This window comes from Homo sapiens, chromosome 8, assembly GCF_000001405.40.
Source record: "Homo sapiens chromosome 8, GRCh38.p14 Primary Assembly".
Taxonomy (NCBI): domain Eukaryota; kingdom Metazoa; phylum Chordata; class Mammalia; order Primates; family Hominidae; genus Homo; species Homo sapiens.
In genome coordinates, this window is record NC_000008.11 from 104447067 (window position 1) to 104465406 (window position 18340).

The window sequence follows — 18340 nt, forward strand, 5'->3', positions numbered from 1 at the left end:
TAAGAGCTGGTTTGCAAAGGGGAAATCCTCATTCTAGTGCATATACCACCTGCATAAAGCTGAGAGCAGGGACTCAAGGAAATGGAGTTGGGAGTTTCTGAGCCACAGAAAATCCGTTTCCGAGCCACGGAAAATCCATTTCTGGATTTCTCATCTTCCAATGCATTAAATGAGTTTACCTATGTAGGCCCAATCATCTTCACCTTATGTTATGGCTGCTGTCATTTCTGTAGAAGCTTTGGAATGCAAATGCGTACCTCTGCAATTAAGTCTCCATTTTCCGCATGGACCTGGGCAATTGCTCCAATTTCCTTGCACCGAGAGAAGGCTTCGTACAGCTCCAGGTCTGTCACCATGTACAGATCTTTATAGGCCATAAACATCTTGAAAGAGTTAACACCTTTATCTTGCACAAGGATTTTCATTTCTTCTTTAACCTAAAAGGAAGCAGCAACCATAACAACAATATGTTACTCTAATTTAAATGATAATTTCAACCTTCTCTAAAACGTTGCATTCGGAAGAGAACTAAGTAAAATAAGGAAAATAAGGACAATAGTTTAGTTCCACAAAAATGCAATTAAGGCCTTGATCTTTTTCCCAGGTTATACCCCATTTCATCTGATAAACTGCTGCTGCTCTCATACTTTTAAATCATGAAAAAGTGAATAGCTTTTCCCAAAGTGCTTTATTTCTGTACTTGGATGTAAAATTCTCTGCATCTATCTCCCGATTTGAGGAAATTATTCTAAAAAATGACCTTGAAGCCATGTTGGCAGCAACAGAAGCAATCATGGATCCAGCAGGAATGAACGTTAATGTGAGGTAAGGATTCAGGTTCCAATCTGAAAGCCATGGGTGGAGTTCTTAGAAGGAGAAAGTAGAAGATGCAGATGGACCCGGGCATGCCCAAGAAAGCACAAACTCATGGTTTAGCTGTAGAGCCAGCCGTGGTGGCATGGGACCCATTGGCAGCTCCTAGGAGGTGACAGCTGGAGACTCCACTCTGGATCCGTTGGAAGCTCAGAGGCCTTCAGGGTTGCCAGGGGTCAGGGGCAAGTTAGTATCAAAGCTATCGCAACAATTGCTCTTTTTTTTTTTTTTTTTGAGACAGAGTCTTGCTCTGTTGCCCAGGCTGGAGTGCAGTGGCATGATCTTGGTTCACTGCAACCTCCACCTCCCAGATTCAAGTGATTCTCCTGCCTCAGCCTCCTGAGTAGCTGGGATTACAGGCGTGCACCACCATGCCCAGCTAATTTTTGTATTTTTAGTAGGGATGGGGTTTCACCATGTTGGCCAGGCTGGTCTTGCATTCCCGACCTCAAGTCATCTGCCCTCCTTGGCCTCCCAAAGTGCTGGAATTACAGGCATGAGCCTCCGCGCCCAGCCTCAATAATTGCTTTTGTAGGTCAGATTCAAGTCTCAATAAGGATCAAAAATTCCAAAGGAAAAACTCATAGATTTGACCAAATAAGACTGTTTGAACTTCTATATGTTAAAACACACCCACACCCACCCACCCACACATACACACACACACAATGAAAAGTGTAACAAGCATAGGATTATTGCTCTTAGCTAATAAAAGTTCTTTCAACTTGATAAGAAAAACATGTTGAAAAATGTTGGCAACAATTCATGGAGTAATAAATGACTAAAAACACATGCAAGAAATTTCCTACTAACTAAAAAGTGCAAAATAAAGCAGCGTAATTCTATTGAGTCAGCAAAGTTTAAGAATGATAATATTACACGTGAATTTACTCATTGCTACCACTGTTTATTCCCTTGGAAATGTCCCTCCCTTTTCTTGATGGTGCTTATCACCCGGCATAGCAGTCCTTACTTGCTGATCACCTGTCGGCCCCACCAGGATTTCAGCCCCATGAGAGAAGGGGCCTTGTAAGGCTTGTCCACTGCTGTATCCTAGAACAGTGCCTGGTGCATAGTGCCCACTCAATAACTATTTATTGAATAAATTAATTGCTACTTAATTAATCTAGAAAAAAGCACCAAAATATTGAGAGTGGACAAGTGATGGAATGTGCTCCAAGTTAGGTTAAGTGACAACAGCAAGGGACAGAACATGGGACAGTGCACCTCATTTGTTCCCCCTAACAGTTTCTAATTTTTTACAATGAGTACATTAGTTTTATAGTCAGAAAAAAAAATGCTTGAAACATTGTTAGCATATTCACATAATGGGCTTCCAAAGGGGATTATGATCTGCATTGCTTACATGAAATATCTTTTGCTCCCTGAGTAGAAGAGCCCTCATTAATCATCCCTGCCATCCACATCCATGGAAGAATCTCATTATACAACTTGCAAGCATATTAGCTTCAGCCTTCCTCCTCCAAAAGTGTGGCAACTGAACCAGCATCAGCAGCGTCACCTGGTTGCTTGCTAGAAATGCAGAATCTCAGGTCCCACCTGCTCCTAACCTACTGCTATGGGTTGACTTGGGTGAGCCAAAAATTCATATGTTGAAGTCCTAACCCCTTGTTTGGAAATAGAGTCCTTGCAGATGTAATTAGTTAAGATGAGGACACGAGCATGTGCGCTTTATCCAATGTAACTGCTGCCCTTATATCAAGTGGAAACTGGGATGCAGACCTCCACGGGGAGAACATCATATGAAGATGAAGGCAGAGATTGGGATGATGCTTCTACAAGACAAGGAATGCCAAAGGTTGTCAGCAAACTTCCAGAAGTTAGGAGAGAGGAAAGGAACAGGTTCTCCCTCAGAGCCCTCAGAAGGAACCAACCCTGCTGACACCTAAATCTCAGACTTCTGGCCTCCACAACTGTGAGGCAGTAAATGTCTGTTGTTTAAGCCATTCTGTTTGTCGTACATTCTGTTTGCTAGGGTTACAGCAGCCCTAGCAAACGAATAACCCCCCTGAACAGAATCTGCAATCTGCATTTTAGCAAGGTTTACCAGGTGACTCTTTGTATACTAAAGTGTGAGAAGCACTGATAAGGACAAACACCATCACCTTTGCTCCATCTTATAAAATAGGAGAATAGGAAAATGAAGAGAAGGAAGGAAGGGAGGGAGGGAAGAGAAGAAAAGAAAGAAGGAAGGGAGGAAGGGAGGGAGGGAGGGAAAAGAAGAAGAGAAGGGAGGGGAGGGAAGGGAAGAAAAGGAGGGACGATCCTAAAAGCATAAGAGTTCAGATGCATCACTAAAAATGGCATTTTTGGAGAAAAACTAACGTTAGCTGTGGACTATAAACCTTGCTATTATGTTTGCTGAACTACCTGTTAAAGATTGATTATTTGTTTTAGATTAACTTGCTGTCTAAAGCCCGAGTTTGTGGGGGATGTGAGATTATAAGATACTCAAATAATGTCCTAATGGTGAACTCTTTCTGGTAAAAAGATTGCTGAATTAAGTGCAATGTGGAAAAACATGTTGCAATTTAAATTCCAAGTAAAAGTTTCTTCCAAAATTCACACACACATTTATGTGGGAGGAAATCAACATATTTTAACATCTCTCAGAACTGTCTTTTCTATCTAAATCATGTTATTTCTGCCATGGCCTGGGCAATTAGTGGACATGGAAGGTTGTTTTAAGCTCTATTATGAAATCATCTGACCAGGTGTGGTAACATTAGCAGAGTAGGAAGATCACTCGGTCAAGATACAGCTTGGAGAAGACTCTGGAAACAGTCCAGGCCTGTCCCTTCCTCTCTAAAGAAGGCTCATGAGTGGGAAGGCAGGCTTCTAGTTCTAGAGAATTCTAAATTTAGAATTTCCTTGATTTTATTTTTGAGAAATTAAACATTTTTTATTGAAGTTCTAACCTGTGGGAAAATACTGTTTAAAAGATTCGGGGGATATTGAATTTAAGAAAAAGAGAAATCAGTATATTAAACATTACACTTAAAGCATTGATGATTCATTGATTAAATATTAGGAGAAGCTGTTATGAATGAGCATAAAAGATTTATCCTATTGTCTTTATATGATTTTTTTAATTTAGTTTTTAAAATTGGTAATACTTCACAGAATTAAAAATTCAAAAGATACAAAAGAATATGCAATGAAAAGTCTTCCTGCCAGTTCTGTCCTCCTGTTGTCTAGGAAGCAATCAATGTCACCAGTTTCTTGCTCTTGTGCAGAGTGAGGACAAGAGGACAATGGGAACACATTGAAATCCAGGTGCTTTACCTGGTCACTCCACCACGTCACTGCCACATGAAGGCTGTAGTCGCAGCAAACTTTGGGATCAGCCCAGCTTCGCCAGGTCTCGAAGGCCTCAATGAGGGAGCCACCTTTCTGAGGAATGGCGAAATCAATAATCATGGTGGTGCCTCCTGAGAGAGCAGCCTGGAATCATAAGAGGTTTTCAACAAATTAGCTATCAATTTCCTAGTTAAGTCATTTATCATCTTGAACAATGTGCATTTGTAAGCACTTGGGCAAACTCGATGGGTCCAGGAAATTGCAAAAAGATGCTGCCTGTTTAAATGACCCAGAAGGGCATGAATAGACTTTTCATAAATTAAGTTTAAAGTATTAAACCTGCTGGAATTGCTTCTGCAAAAAGAATGTCATATCTGATAAGATGAAAATGGATTTGACTCAAAGAAAACAGAGTGAGGATTGTAAAGAAAAATCAAAATGGAAAAGTGGAAAAAATGCACATATTTTTTCTTGAGAAGTGATATTCATTATTATAAAATTCCATTTTATTAGAATCCATCCTGATGAACTGTATCTCTAACTGCCCTGTGGTACTCTCAGAATCCTGGGAGACTTACATGGTTCCGGTCTTGCCTCCATTCCCAGAAACCAAATGGTGACCCCTTTATCTTTCTTAGATTTGCACCTGTCCTTCTGTCCACTGCTACCACCCTGGTCTTAGTTCAGATCCATCTCATTCCTCATCTTGACTATTGTAAGAGTCCTGATTGATCTTCATCTCCCACTCCCTCCAATACAAACCCCTCATTGCAACGAGAGAGATATTTCCAAAGCAAAAATGTAACCACTTGACTCCAAAGATGAAAACTGAGTGCTTCTCCCTGCCTCTGCACAAACTGGAATCTTCATAACATGGTCTATAAATCCCTGCATTCTGCCTCAACTTGCAATATACCCCTTAGCACATTATATTACATTACATCACTACTAATTTAAAAACTGTTACTAAATCACATGCCTTTGACTAATTATTTAAATCAATTTCATTTAAACTAAAATCACAAGATGGTTAATTGTTTTTAATTGTTGTATTCAAACAATGTAGGTGAAGAAAACAGAGACAGGAGGGATGTTGCACAGTGGCTTAGACCACGGACCTGGGAGGCTCACGGACACCAGGGTACAAAGCTCAGCATCAACACTTATTCGCTGTGGTAATCTCAGCAATTTCTTAACCTCTGTGGCCTTTAATTCGCCATCTGCAAAGTGAGGACAATTGTACCTAAACCATAGGCTTGATAGGAGGATTAAACTGAAGTAATGTATACAGAGTGCTTAGGTCCAGGCGCCTTGGCCATGCCTGTAATCTCAGCACTCTAGGAGGCTGAGACGGGAGGAGAGCTTGAGCCCAGGAGTTCAAGACTAGCCTGGGCAACATGGTGAAAACCCCGTCTCTACAAAAATGTAAAATTAGCCAGGCATGGTGGCATGCGCCTGCAGTCCTAGCTACTTGGTAGACTGAGATGGAAGGACCACTTGAGCCCGGGAGTTTGAGGCTGCAGTGAGCTATGATTGCACCACTGCATGCCAGCCTGGGCAACAGAGAGAGACCCTGTCTCAAAAATAAACAAATAAATAAAAATAAAGTGCTTAGTACAGAGTTTGATTCATGGTAAGTGCTTTATGGGTTGAGCACTACTATTTCAGGATTAGGAATTTTTCCATCTTCCCTATATCGTGTTACCTCATCACCAGAAATGTGGTCATGTTACAACACAGGAGGGGGCAGTGCCTCAGTCTCTCTTTCCGGCCCCCACCACCCTCCCCCAACAGCTTCCAGATACACCGGATGCCCTCATGTCCTACCTGATATGCCAGCTCTATTCTACTCCCACTTTTCTTGCTTACTTCAATAGATTTTTATTTTTCCTTAACTTACTTGGCCCCACTCCAATTCTTTTTGCTCTCAAAAATTTCACTTTTTATACAGGATCCTGTATGTTGTCTCCACCTTTAAATAACACTGCCTTATCTGTGGCAAAACAATACATATTTGCATTTCTTAAGAAATCCCTATTGATGTAATGAAAATACTAGGAAAAAAATTCCTCAGGCTTTGTATTTTTATTTGAATACAGATTAATCTTCTTACCTTCTTCCTTCTAAAAGTGTCTTCCCAGTATGACAAGACATCCCTTGAGGATGAAGGACATTTTTCTAATAGAATCTGCTGTTAATTAAAGCATTAGAAGAAAGTCCTCTTTTAGCATCTACTGAACTAGAAAATCAAGCTTAAAGAACTATTCTTTGTATTCTTTCCCTATTAAAATCTACCACACGCAGGATGTGGAGAAACTAGATACACAGCTGGTGGGAATGCAAAATGGTACAGCCACTTTGGAAAACAATTTGGAGTTCCTCTCACAGTTAAAGATAGAGTTACCACAAGACCAAGCAATTCCACTCCTAGGCCTATAGCCAAGAGAAATGAAAACATGTTCTCGTAAAGACTTGCACATGAATATTCACAGCAGCATGATCCATGGTAGCCAAAAAGTAGAAACAATACAAATGTCCATCGACTCATGAATGGATAAATAAAATCTAATAGATTCATACAATGGGATAGTATTTTACCATAAAAGGAAATGAAGTACTGACATACGCTATGACATGGGTGAAGTTTGAAAATATGATGCTAAGTGAGAAAAGCTAGTCACAAAGATAATATATTGTGTGATTCTATTTATATGAAATGTCCAGAAGAGGCAAATCCATAGAGCAAGTGGAATAGTGGTTGTCTGGGGCTGGGTGGGATGAGGAGAGTCCAAGGTGATAGCTAAAGGGTATGGTGTTTCTTTTGGGGGTATCAAAAGTGTTCTGGCTGGGCATGGTGGCTGACGCCTGTAATCCCAGCACTTTGGGAACCTGAAGCAGGTGGATCACCTGAGGTCAGGAGTTCAAGACAAGCCTGGCCAACATGGTGAAACCCCATCTCTACTAAAAATACAAAAATTAGCTGGGCATGGTGGCGGGTGCCTATAATCCCAGCTACTAGGGAGGCTGAGGCAGGAGAATTGCTTGAACCCATGAGGCAGAGGTTGCGGTGAGCCGAGATCATGCCATTGCACTCCAGCCTGGGTGACAAGAGTGAAACTCCATCTCAAAACAAACAAACAAAACAAAAAGTATTCTACAATTGATTGTGGTGATGCTTGCACAATTCTGTGAACATACTAAAAGCCATTGTCCTATACACTTTAAATGGCCGAATTGTATTGTAGGTGGATTCTATCTCCACAAAACCAGAAAAGTTCTACCACATCCAAGCCACTGTATGTAGTGAAGGGAGTGGGAGATCACACAAATAATTAGGCAATGATTCTGCCCTCAGGGTGTTTATAGGAGAAGCAGAAATATGAATAAATAAATATAAAATAGTTAGATTGTAATAACAGGTAGCAAGTCTACTTTTAAAATAAACAGTAGTATAAAAATTGCTAAAGGGAGGTAAAATTTGCTAAGCTCCCTAGAAGAGGTACAGAGAAAAGATGACTGGGAATTCAGAGGAGAGAAAGATCAACTCAGAGATTAGAGACGGCTTGGATTTCAATCAGGATTAGGACCTACACGTGGAAGTTTCCAATTAAGTATAATGATATCTGACTCACAGCAAGTGCTGTGATGCTGTTTTTGTGCACCATGATGCTCTAGGAACTATTCCAATGTTTTGCATATTTTAACCATCTCAAGAGCTCCACAGTAGGTACTATGGTTAACTCCATTTTAGGGTGGTGAATACTGAATACAGAAAACCCAGATGACGGGCTGATGGGTGCAGCAAACCACCATGGCACATGTATACCTATGTAACAAACCTGTACATTCTGCACATGTATCCCAGAACTTAAAGTAAAATAAAGAAAAAAAAACTTAATACAGAACCGTCAATAACTTGGCCAAAGTCTCATAGCCAGCAAGGAGCAATGGCAGGGTTGGAATCTGAGTCATCAGGCCCTAGAGCCTGAGCCTCTGGGAAACGTGAACTGCATGAAGAGACGCTCTGAGGAAGAAGATCTGGGGGGAAGAGGTAGCAGCTCAGCAGAAAATGTTAAAGGGCAGAATTAAGGTGACTGGGGACCATATAAAGTGGTGGTCCCAGAGGAGGAAAACAGGGCAATGATTGTTTTCAGTTGCGAAGGGAGTCAGGTGAGCTGATTTGACTAGGATGAGTGAGACGATGGCAGGCGAGTGGACAGAGGAGGAGCATGATCTGCACTTAGGAGGGACGTGAATGAAGTGGGGAACATCCTGAGAGTGAGGTGCTTGGGCACGTGTCCACCTGGTGGCATTTGCAGACAGGAAGACATACAGACCTGTTTCCAAACAGCATACAAGACTAGGAGAAAATGTAGGAGTGACCTATTAGAGGATGCCATAGAGGTCCCGAGACTGGCCGAAATGGCCAGGGAGCGAGAAGCCAGACATGACAACATGAGCCACAATAACATGCTTCGGAACATACCAACACTCTGCACGAACACAAAACCACACTGAGCCAAGACAAAATGTTTACAGTGGCTGGTTCTAGGTGGTATAATTCCAGGTCATTTTAATTTTCCCCTACTTCAATTTTATTTTCAATATTTGCTAAACTTTCTATTAAAATCATAATTTTATATGAAAAATAAATATTTTACATATAAATATATGACACAGGGCATATATATGTACAGCCATGTACCATAATGGTGTTTTGATCAATGACAGTACCACATGTATGACGGTGGCCCCATAAGATCACAGTACCATATTTGTACTGTACCTTTTCTATGTTTAGCAATGTTTAGATACACAGTTATTATTGTCATTGCCTATGGTATTCAGTAGAGTAACTACTGAACAGGTTTGTAGCCGAGGAGCCACAGGCCATAGCATATAGCCTAGGCGTGTAGTAGGCTATACCATCTAGGTTTGTGTAAGTACACACTATGATGGTCTCACAACCACAAATTTGCCTAATGACACATTTCTCAGAATGTATTCCTGCTATTAAGTGACACATGACCATAAATGGTGTATAAATTAAATAGACAGAGCTGTTGATGGTCTTCTTACCAGACTGAAGATATGATAGTCAAAGGGCCACTCTTCTAAAACTAAAGCAAATGAAAATTCTCGGGGCTACAATTTGAAAGCTCTTAAATGAGGGTTGATCACAAATGCTCCACCTTCCTAATTAACTAGGAGCAGGAAAGAGACAGGAGAGGAACAACCACTTATCTTTTGTTTCTTCTTGTTCTGTTTCTTATCCCCATTCTTATCTCCCTCTCCTCAACCCCAGACTGGGAATGAGTTTGGAGAAGCTGTATTGAATGGGAAAGGATGGCTGGGGCCAATTTCTCTCAGATAGCTACATGAAGCCTAGTTATTTCCTTTGCTTTTATTCCTGATTGACTTATTTCCATTTTTATTTGTCAGTTAGCCAAACAAAATGGATTTAGCTTTTCTAACCTGGCTCACAAATCAATTATTTCAGCTCCTAATTACTTTCACTGTTCTTCCTTGTAAACCTTCCAGTTTATCTAAAAAACTCTTTTGGGGGACAGGGGAGCCCACACTGCTTCCAGAAGAAATGCAGTGGAACAGAAATTGAGATAAACTCTAACAGTGGGTCATAATATTACACAAGATTTTGTTTAAGAATATTCCATTGTAAATCATTACTGAAAGTACAGGAGTTATCCCTTATCCAAGAGGGATACATTCCAAGACCTCCAGTGGATGCCTGAAACTGAGGATAGTATTGAACCCTACATATGCTATGTTTTTTCCTATATGTACATACCTGTGATAAAGTTTAATTTATTACTGGGCACAGTAAGAGACTAACAGCAATAACTAATAAAAAATAGAACAATTAGCCAGCATCACTCTTGCACTTTGGGGCCATTATGAAGTAAAATAAGGGTGACTTGTGGGTGGCCACAAGCACTGCAATATTGCAACAGTTGACCTGATAACCGAGCCAACTACTAAGTGACTGACGGGCAGGGAGCGTCTATAGCATGAATGTGCTGGACATAGGGAGGACTCACGTCCCAGTCCCAGGCAGGATGGAGCAGGATGTCTTGAGGTTTCATCACACTACTCAGGACGTTGTACAATTTAAAACTTATGATTGTTTATTTCTGGAATTTTCCACTTAAGTTTTTTGGACTACAGTTGACCTCAGGTAACTGGAGAAATTGAAACTGTGATTCAGGGTACACTACTGTATCCAAATGCATTTTCTTCCCTTTTATGGTGCCACCAAATTCTTATTTCTAAGCTTATCCTAAAACAAGTGACTTTGTTTCACTAAAATCCATCACAGAACCTGCACCACCCAAGTAAAACAAAAAGAAACCCAACGGTATGTTTGAGCCTTAATGAGAAAAGTTCGTGGCTGAATTTCTAGCTCTCTCACAATCACTGAAACCTACAAAAACAAGTTTCATGGTCCCAACGTCTGTCCCAAATCAAGAAGCACACTCAGCTTTGTAAAGATGTCTTGCACATTCCTGTCCATGCTTGGCTTCTTGCCTCCCTAAGTTTGGAATATTAATCACACTATCATCCAACCCACCAGAAACTTAAGAGTTACTCTTGACACCTACTTCTCTTCTTCCCTGTATCCCCAAATCCAATCCATCAACAAGACCCTGGAGGCTGTCTTCTATGAACTCCAGGAGCCTCTCTACTCCTGCGTCTTCACCTCTACTGCCCGGTGCCACCTTCGTCTTCCCACTGGACTAGCACAGTGAAGAAATGAGAAGGGAGGGAAAACAGAAAGGAAGAGGGCCATAAAGAGGGTGTGTTAATGAGTAGGTTACCACTGTGAGCAACCGGAGTTCAGTCCCCAGAAAATCCTCAGAGCAACAATGTGAACACAACTCCAAGGTAGGAGGTATACCTACTATATGTCTGCCCAGCCATATCTGCCACTTCCAATCTTTTATTGACTTCTCTTTGCTCTTAAGATGGAGAAAAAACAATTGTTGCCCAACCCATAAGGTCCTGCATGACCTGAACTTTAGCTTTCTCCAAAGCTGTCTATTGAGCTATTCCCTCTCAACTCATTCACTCCACTCCACTGACACTGTCCCTGCCTCTCTTAGGAGACCTGAGCACTTTCCCATTTCAGAGAGAGACATCATTCATGTTCTTCCCTCCTCTACCCATTCCTGTGCTGAGTCCAAGCAATTCTTAGCCCTGGATCATGCAGGAATCATATAGAAAGCGTTTACCCCATTCCCCAGAGATTCTGATTTAATCAATGTTGGTTCATCTCTGTATATTCTGTGCCCATTACAGTACCTGGCACATGAATATTCTCTAAATGTTTGAAGGGGAAAGGAAGAGAAGGACCAGTGAATTTCCCTAAAAGTCACGAGATGGAATAATTATGATGGTTCACTTTTCCAATAGCAAACTGGGAAAGCTGTGTAAGTTGCGTGTTAGTGTGAAATGTCATTTCCCAAAAATATTGCTAGTCCTGGCCCTGTAGTTTCCTAGATCCTTCTATGAACATGTTAATATGGAGTGTCAATGCAGACCACATCTGAAGGCTGAATGCTCAGTTTTTCCAAAGTTCATTACCAAAGCAGTGTTAACTAAGACTTTTAACAAACACAATTTTAGTTTATTTCTGTATCTATGCCTCAAATACTTTCTTGACTTCTAAAAATGATTACATTTTGTTTTACTTTCAGGTGAATGTTAAGGTCTTTTCTGTGTGAAAAGATCCTCAGGCTCAGGAACTCATCCATGACTATCACTATATAATACAGTCTCCCTGTTAGATGCAATGAAACATAACAGAAAAAATTGAAGTGTCCTTTCTCAACTTGTTACTTGACGTGTGAGAAGAAAGCACAAAGCAGTGTTGAGGTGTAGATGGTGGCCAGTTGCCCAGGCTCACTTGTCAGCCAAGTAAGCAGGTCAGAAACACAGCCAGGTGATGCAGGCCACTGTGATTGATGACTCAGCAACAGGGAAAATGCCAGATGTCACTGACCTCACATGTTTACTAAAAATTTGTCACAATCATCAAAGCAAAGTCTATAAAGCCCAAACTTACTATATAAAATTTATTATCAAAGTCCAGACAGATTAGAGACCCATATACCTCTAGTCTGTTTACCGCTGAGAACAAATACCATGGTTTTCATCTCTATAACCTCTGCACCAGCCACAATGCCTGGCACTTAGTGGGTTTCCAAGAAATACTTGTTGACTGAATTAATGGAACCTAACAGCCAGCTTGAAAAATCCTTAGTTTGGGATTATTCCATATTAGATGGCAGTTGAGACTCTAGAATATACCACTGTAGCATAAATATTATTTTGAGCTCCAGATATTTGAGAATAGGTGTTTTTTTGTTTGTTTGTTTTTGTTTTTCCTTAAGTCCCAAATCTGCTATAAAGCAAAGCCTCCCCAAAGACCTCAATTATCATAAATCCCCTCTCTAGGAGTTTCACAACCAGGGAAGATTGACTTATCACTAGAGACTTGGAAGCTGACACCATACCTAAATAGACACTGTCACAAAACTGTCATATGTCCCATATCTCCTTCTAAGGGCCCATTTATCTTTTCTAAAAGTCATTTGTTTTCCTATGTGTCTTTTCTCCCTGTGACCATCCCCTATTAAGAAGTTGTTTTTTTGTAAGTGCCTGCTCCGCCTTCCCTTGTTCTGTTAAGATGGTGTATAACCCCCCAAATCTAGCCCCCTCGTTGAGTCACATTTTTCTGTGAATTCCTATATATGTATGTGAATTTTTTTAATTTGTCTTTTCTTTTGTGAATCTCTCTTTTGTCAGTTTAATTTGCAGGCCCCCAATTACTAAACATAAGAGGGTAAAGGAAAAGACTTTCCTCCCTGAGAGAAGCATCATGGAAACCTTGATTTCTAGACTACCTCTCTCAGACATTTTATGGTTTGGCTCTGTGTCCCCACCCAAATCTCAAGTTGAATTGTAATCCCCAATGTTGGGGGAGTGACCATGTGGGAGGTGATTGAATCATGGGGGCATATTTCCCCCTTGTCGATCTCATGAGTGAGTTCTCATGAGATCTGGTTGTTTAAAAGGGTGCAGCACTTCCCCCTTTGCTCTCTCTCCTGCCACCATGTGAATATGTGCTTGCTTCCCCTTCACCTTCTAACATGATTGTAAGTTTCCCGAGGCCTCCCCGGTCATGCCTCCTGTACAGCCTGTGAAACTGTGAGTCAATTGAACCTCTTTTCTTTATAAATTACCCAGTCTCAAATACTTCTTTATAGCAGTGTGAGAACAGACTAATAGAGACATTGAAAATACCCAGGCCAGACATGTGAGAGAGAAAACAAGGGGTGGAGGTGAAAAGCATGAACTATGGACTATCAAAGCTGAAATAAGGCAAGTCTTGGAATCTAAGTCAGTGAAAGGATTCCTAATACACAACACCCTTAACAGAACCAAAGCTTTAGTTAGCATCAAGTGGTTTCAGTTAATCTTTGAGTTTTTTTGTGCTTCCTCTGATGAGTCTGAAGGTTAAGTTTGTAATCATTAAACAGCCATTCAAGGAAACCACAGAATTACAAACCCTTGAAGCTGGAGCATCTAAACTACTAATACAACACGAATGTTCAAAGCTCAGCCTCACCAGTTATTAAAGAGATGATCTTTTAAAGACAGTAAGAAGTGCTACGTTTTTCCTCTGAAATTGACATAGATTTTTTTAAAAGTCATTATCCAGGCCAGGCACAGTGGCTCACACCTGTAATCCCAGCACTTTGGGAGGCTGAGGTGAGTATATCACTTGAGCTCAGGAGTTTGAGATCAGCCTGGGCAACATAGTGAGACCCTGTCTCTACAAAAAAAAAAAAAAATACAAAAATTAGCTGGGCATGGTGGCGTGCACCTGCAGTCCCAGCTACTTGGGAGGTTGAGGTGGGAGGATTGCTTGAGCCCAGGAGGATGAGGCTGCCGTGAGCTGGATTGCACCACTGCATTCCAGCCCAGGTGAGAGAGTGAGACCCTGTCTCAATAAAATAAAATAAAATAAAATAAAATAAAATAAAATAAAATAAAATAATGTCATTATCCATCATCGACAAGAATACAGTGAAATGGGAATGATAATGGGCACATAAACTGAAGAGCAGTCTGAATGAATGTATTAAACTCCTTTAAGATGTGTCTAATACTCATTGGCCCAGGCATTTTACTCTAAGGGATCATTTCTGAGGCAATCATCAAGAATATGAACAATAATTTACATATAAGGATGTCTGTCACAGCATTGCTATATAGTGGATAAACACTGGAGATCACCAAAATGTCCATCATGGAGAAGATGAGAGCTGAACCATCAAAGTTTGGGAAACAGGAAGAAAAATGAGTTTGAAACTTGAAGGAGAGGTCACATTTGGTTTGGAACATGCTGAGTTTGAGGTGCTTCTGGGATATCCAGGTTGTGATATCCAGAGACAGGCAGAAATTGAGGCCTGATGCTTAAGGAATATGCAGGCTGGAGAGAGAGATCCGAGACTCAGAGATCATTATCCTCAGAGAGGATAATGAGGCCACAAAATCACATTCTCCAGTGGTATTTAAGGACAGGGGGAAATGTTTAATAAACAAGGCTGACTCCAATCAGTATGCCCAATTTGGTAGAAGGAAACAAATGTTTACACGTTCCCCCAACAAATAAATATCTAGAAGGATAGGGAGCCAAATGTTAAAATTATAGGTGATTTAAATATTATTTTTCTTTATACTCATCTGTATTTTTCTTTTTTGAAAAAGCAGTTGATTCATTTAACTAATGCATATTGAGTGACTATAATGTGCCAGCATTTTTTTAAGGTCTGGATGATAAGTATATATTGTTTTTATAACTTAAAAAACTCTTTTTGAATTGCTCATCTAACCATTGCCTCATTCACAGACAAGAAAATGCTGACAATCCTGAGAGAGGAAATTACTTGCCTAAGGTCACAAAATCAGCCCACACAGCTCCTGAAGCCCAGCCGGGAGCTCTGGCAAGCAACAGAAAAGGGGATTTGATTTGCAACCAGGGTTTTTGAAGCACAGCTCTTCCACAAGTTGCAGAAGCTCTATAAATACAACTAAATGTGTGGTGTGCTTAATCACACTTACCTGCTTAATCACACACTGCCTTGTAAGTAATCCCCACAATGGCATTTTACCAAAAAGTTTCAAAGCAAAGTGTAATTTCCCTTCTCAATAATTTTGAGAACTTTTTGTCCTTTACAATAAAGAAAAAACAAAAGAAAAAAAGAAAAATGTGTTGCATGGTTTCCCAATTTTTAAAAAGATGTTCCTCCTGCCAGCTACTGACACTACCGGGTTTTCAGTGCAACTCCACCCACTCTGACCTGCATACACCTCTGAATACAAATTTATGTATATTTGAAAACTTGCCAAACTCTTATACTTCATTCTCTTATCACAGAATGTAGTAAAAGCAAAGTCACGATTCTTTCAAATTTATTGAATTCATACTACCCATTGAATAAAAAATTCCATTGTCCTTCCTCATAGATATTGAATTATCTGAAGACCACTGTACATCTGGTATAGACCAACAAAATGAAATATGATTTCTTTAAAGCAGAACATTATTTCCATTAGTTACTTCAGAAAGCTTTTACCTGTAATTAAGCTAATCAATTATAGGCTTTAAACCAATCTCTGACATGAATTAGATTTACAAAATAAATAACCTTTAGTTAATGTATATTCATTTTTAAAATTGAGTCCCATCACAATCTAGTGATCGATAAATAGAGTACCACAAATAATATCCTTTTGTATTTGTCAGGTATTATAAATGATCAGCCTGCTGGATGTAGAATGCAAACAGCTATTGGTCTAAACTTTAGGGGCCCATTTCCTGAAAGTATAATATATCATTTTTACTTTATGCTTTTTCTGTACTTAAGGTCCATTTCTGTACCCTTACAAATGATATGGCTATAAATGTATGTATTATACAAATGCCTTATAAACTGAATACCTGCAGTGTGTACTTATTTTGATAACCTTAACTGCCTCTAGCTTTAGGAAAGTGAAGAGTTACTGTCTTTTCTAAAGACGGCTCTGCTCTATTTTTGAGAAAAGATGCCTCGCATTAAAATGCAACTTATATGGCTCTGTCATCTATCACTTGCCACCCTGACAAATCTGAACATTATATGTTTTTTCAAAAGAACAGACACTAATAGGTAACAGCTTTAGCGACGGGGTCAGGCAGTACTAAATTTGAAGAGCCACTCAGTGAGTTACAGCCCTAGGTGTACAACCTTAGGCAGGTAGCTTAAGCTTCAATTTCCTCAATTGTAAAAAAGTAGACAATGGCATCTGGGATTTTTGGAAGATAATGCACAACTTAGGGCATTGGCTGGTATGTACTTGATAAAATAGATGTTACTTAAAGGTATAATAGGAAGATGTTTTTCAAGTTTAACATATCATACAACCAGTATTTACAAAAGGCCTATCTTTGTCTCTAGCTCCCCAAAACAAACACCCACCAGCGTTGCTTTGGGGATTATTGCAAAGGCCAGGAAAGAAGACAAAATAACTCTATAATGCCTTTCTTTCAGAATTCAGGTCAATACTGTAATGTTTATGTTTATCTATATTTCCCCATCTGGTTCACTTTATGAAGCCTCAGCTGTTTCGGGGGGTGGGAGTGGTTACCTCTTGGGATCCAACCAACTGACTCTGAACTAGACTATTGCAACACAGCCCCTTTGTAAGTACTGTTTAATATTCAACAGGAATTTGGTATTTGCTAAACCTTTGACCTTAATATCTCTGACCGTATCATTTTTTGTTTAAGATCCTAAGCTCATGAAGAACATGTTTTTGTTTAATGTTTTCACAACCTTTAAGTACAGAAATGCTTAGAGGATCAGCTGGTGGATAAATCCTTTGAGATGTTGACAACAGACTATACGCCATAAGGACCTACATTCTCAGTTAAGAATTATAAATCTCTCTGAACTAGAGAATCCCAGAATGGCTAAGGAAAAGATAGAAGACCAAGAACCACTTCCCAGGACCTTGGGGCACGCAAAGATAATCTTGAGAAAGAGAGGGAATGCCCCTCCCCCACAGCATTCCACTTCCTCTTCTTTGCTGCTTCATCTGGAACCCTGATGGCAGAAAGAGAATGAAAGCTACTGCTCAGCTGTAAGAGGGAGAATGATGCTAGTGGGCAACTCATGGTCAGAAATAGCAGCTCCCCACCTTGCAGGTGGGAGTGTTCAATGGGATGCCCTGCCATCAGCAAAGCACTTTGTTAATGATAAGTCTGTAATAACAGAAAGGGCTTGCACTATGACTGAAAACTGCAAGTTCTGACATTTTAAATATAGGTGTACACACACAGACACATGCACAATATGATATCGATTATGTAAAATAGAGCATGCTAAAAAGCATAAAGGCAATACACCAAAACATTGGCTGTCACTGAGAGGGAGAGTATTATTAATGTTTTGCTTCTTTTAATTTTCCTATTATTTTTCCAATTGTTTCCTACAATCACATATTGTTTTGATAGCTAAAAAATTCTTTAAAATGGAAAAATAAGTTCATTCAAATTCAGTGCATATTACTTTTTAGCAAAAGGGAAAAATGAATAAACAAAACAAAGTTTGCTAATTTTCAAACCATACAACAATCTGTCCTACAAAAGACTTTATTGACATAAAGATATAGGTTGATAATTAGTAATCAGGAAGAAGCTTTCCAAATGGTGATTTGAGCAGCCTGCCCAGATCCTTCTCTCTGGGTCAAATCTACCTGCCTTCCTTTTTTTCTGTTAATCATTCCAGTCAATTATAGAGGATTGGGGAACTTGGAGAGGGGGAGGTGTAAGGAGAGCAAAACTGTCAGAAATCAGTATATGAATGAAGTAGCTATCACCAAAACTGCTTTGGAAGACTGTCAGCCTGTCCACAGTAACATGGGAATAGAAAGAAAGAGAGGGGTGGAGGGGGTAGTGGGGGGAGAAAGAAGGGAGGGAGTGATGGAGAGAAGGAGGGAGGGAGGAAGGAAGCCTACTATACACTGGACTTAATAGCCCAACTTGTTTCACACATCAAGGTATGGTCCAAGTGAAAAG

The 18340-nt window shown here is 40.0% G+C and overlaps 1 protein-coding gene across 9 annotated transcripts in view; it reads right to left on the minus strand.

Annotated features, from left to right (window-relative positions):
- Window positions 1-18340, minus strand: part of DPYS (dihydropyrimidinase) — an 87625-nt gene that overhangs the window by 67636 nt on the left and 1649 nt on the right. For 7 of the 9 annotated variants that reach the window (NM_001385.3, XM_005250818.4, XM_047421415.1 and 4 more), the window contains exons 2-3: window positions 4180-4338; window positions 258-437 (exon numbers count right to left, since the gene is read on the minus strand). In NM_001385.3, coding sequence (NP_001376.1) covers window positions 258-437; window positions 4180-4338 — 339 coding nt within the window. The remainder of the gene's footprint in view (window positions 1-257; window positions 438-4179; window positions 4339-18340) is intronic. The other 2 variants (XM_047421418.1, XM_006716518.4) reach the window with 1 other exon arrangement.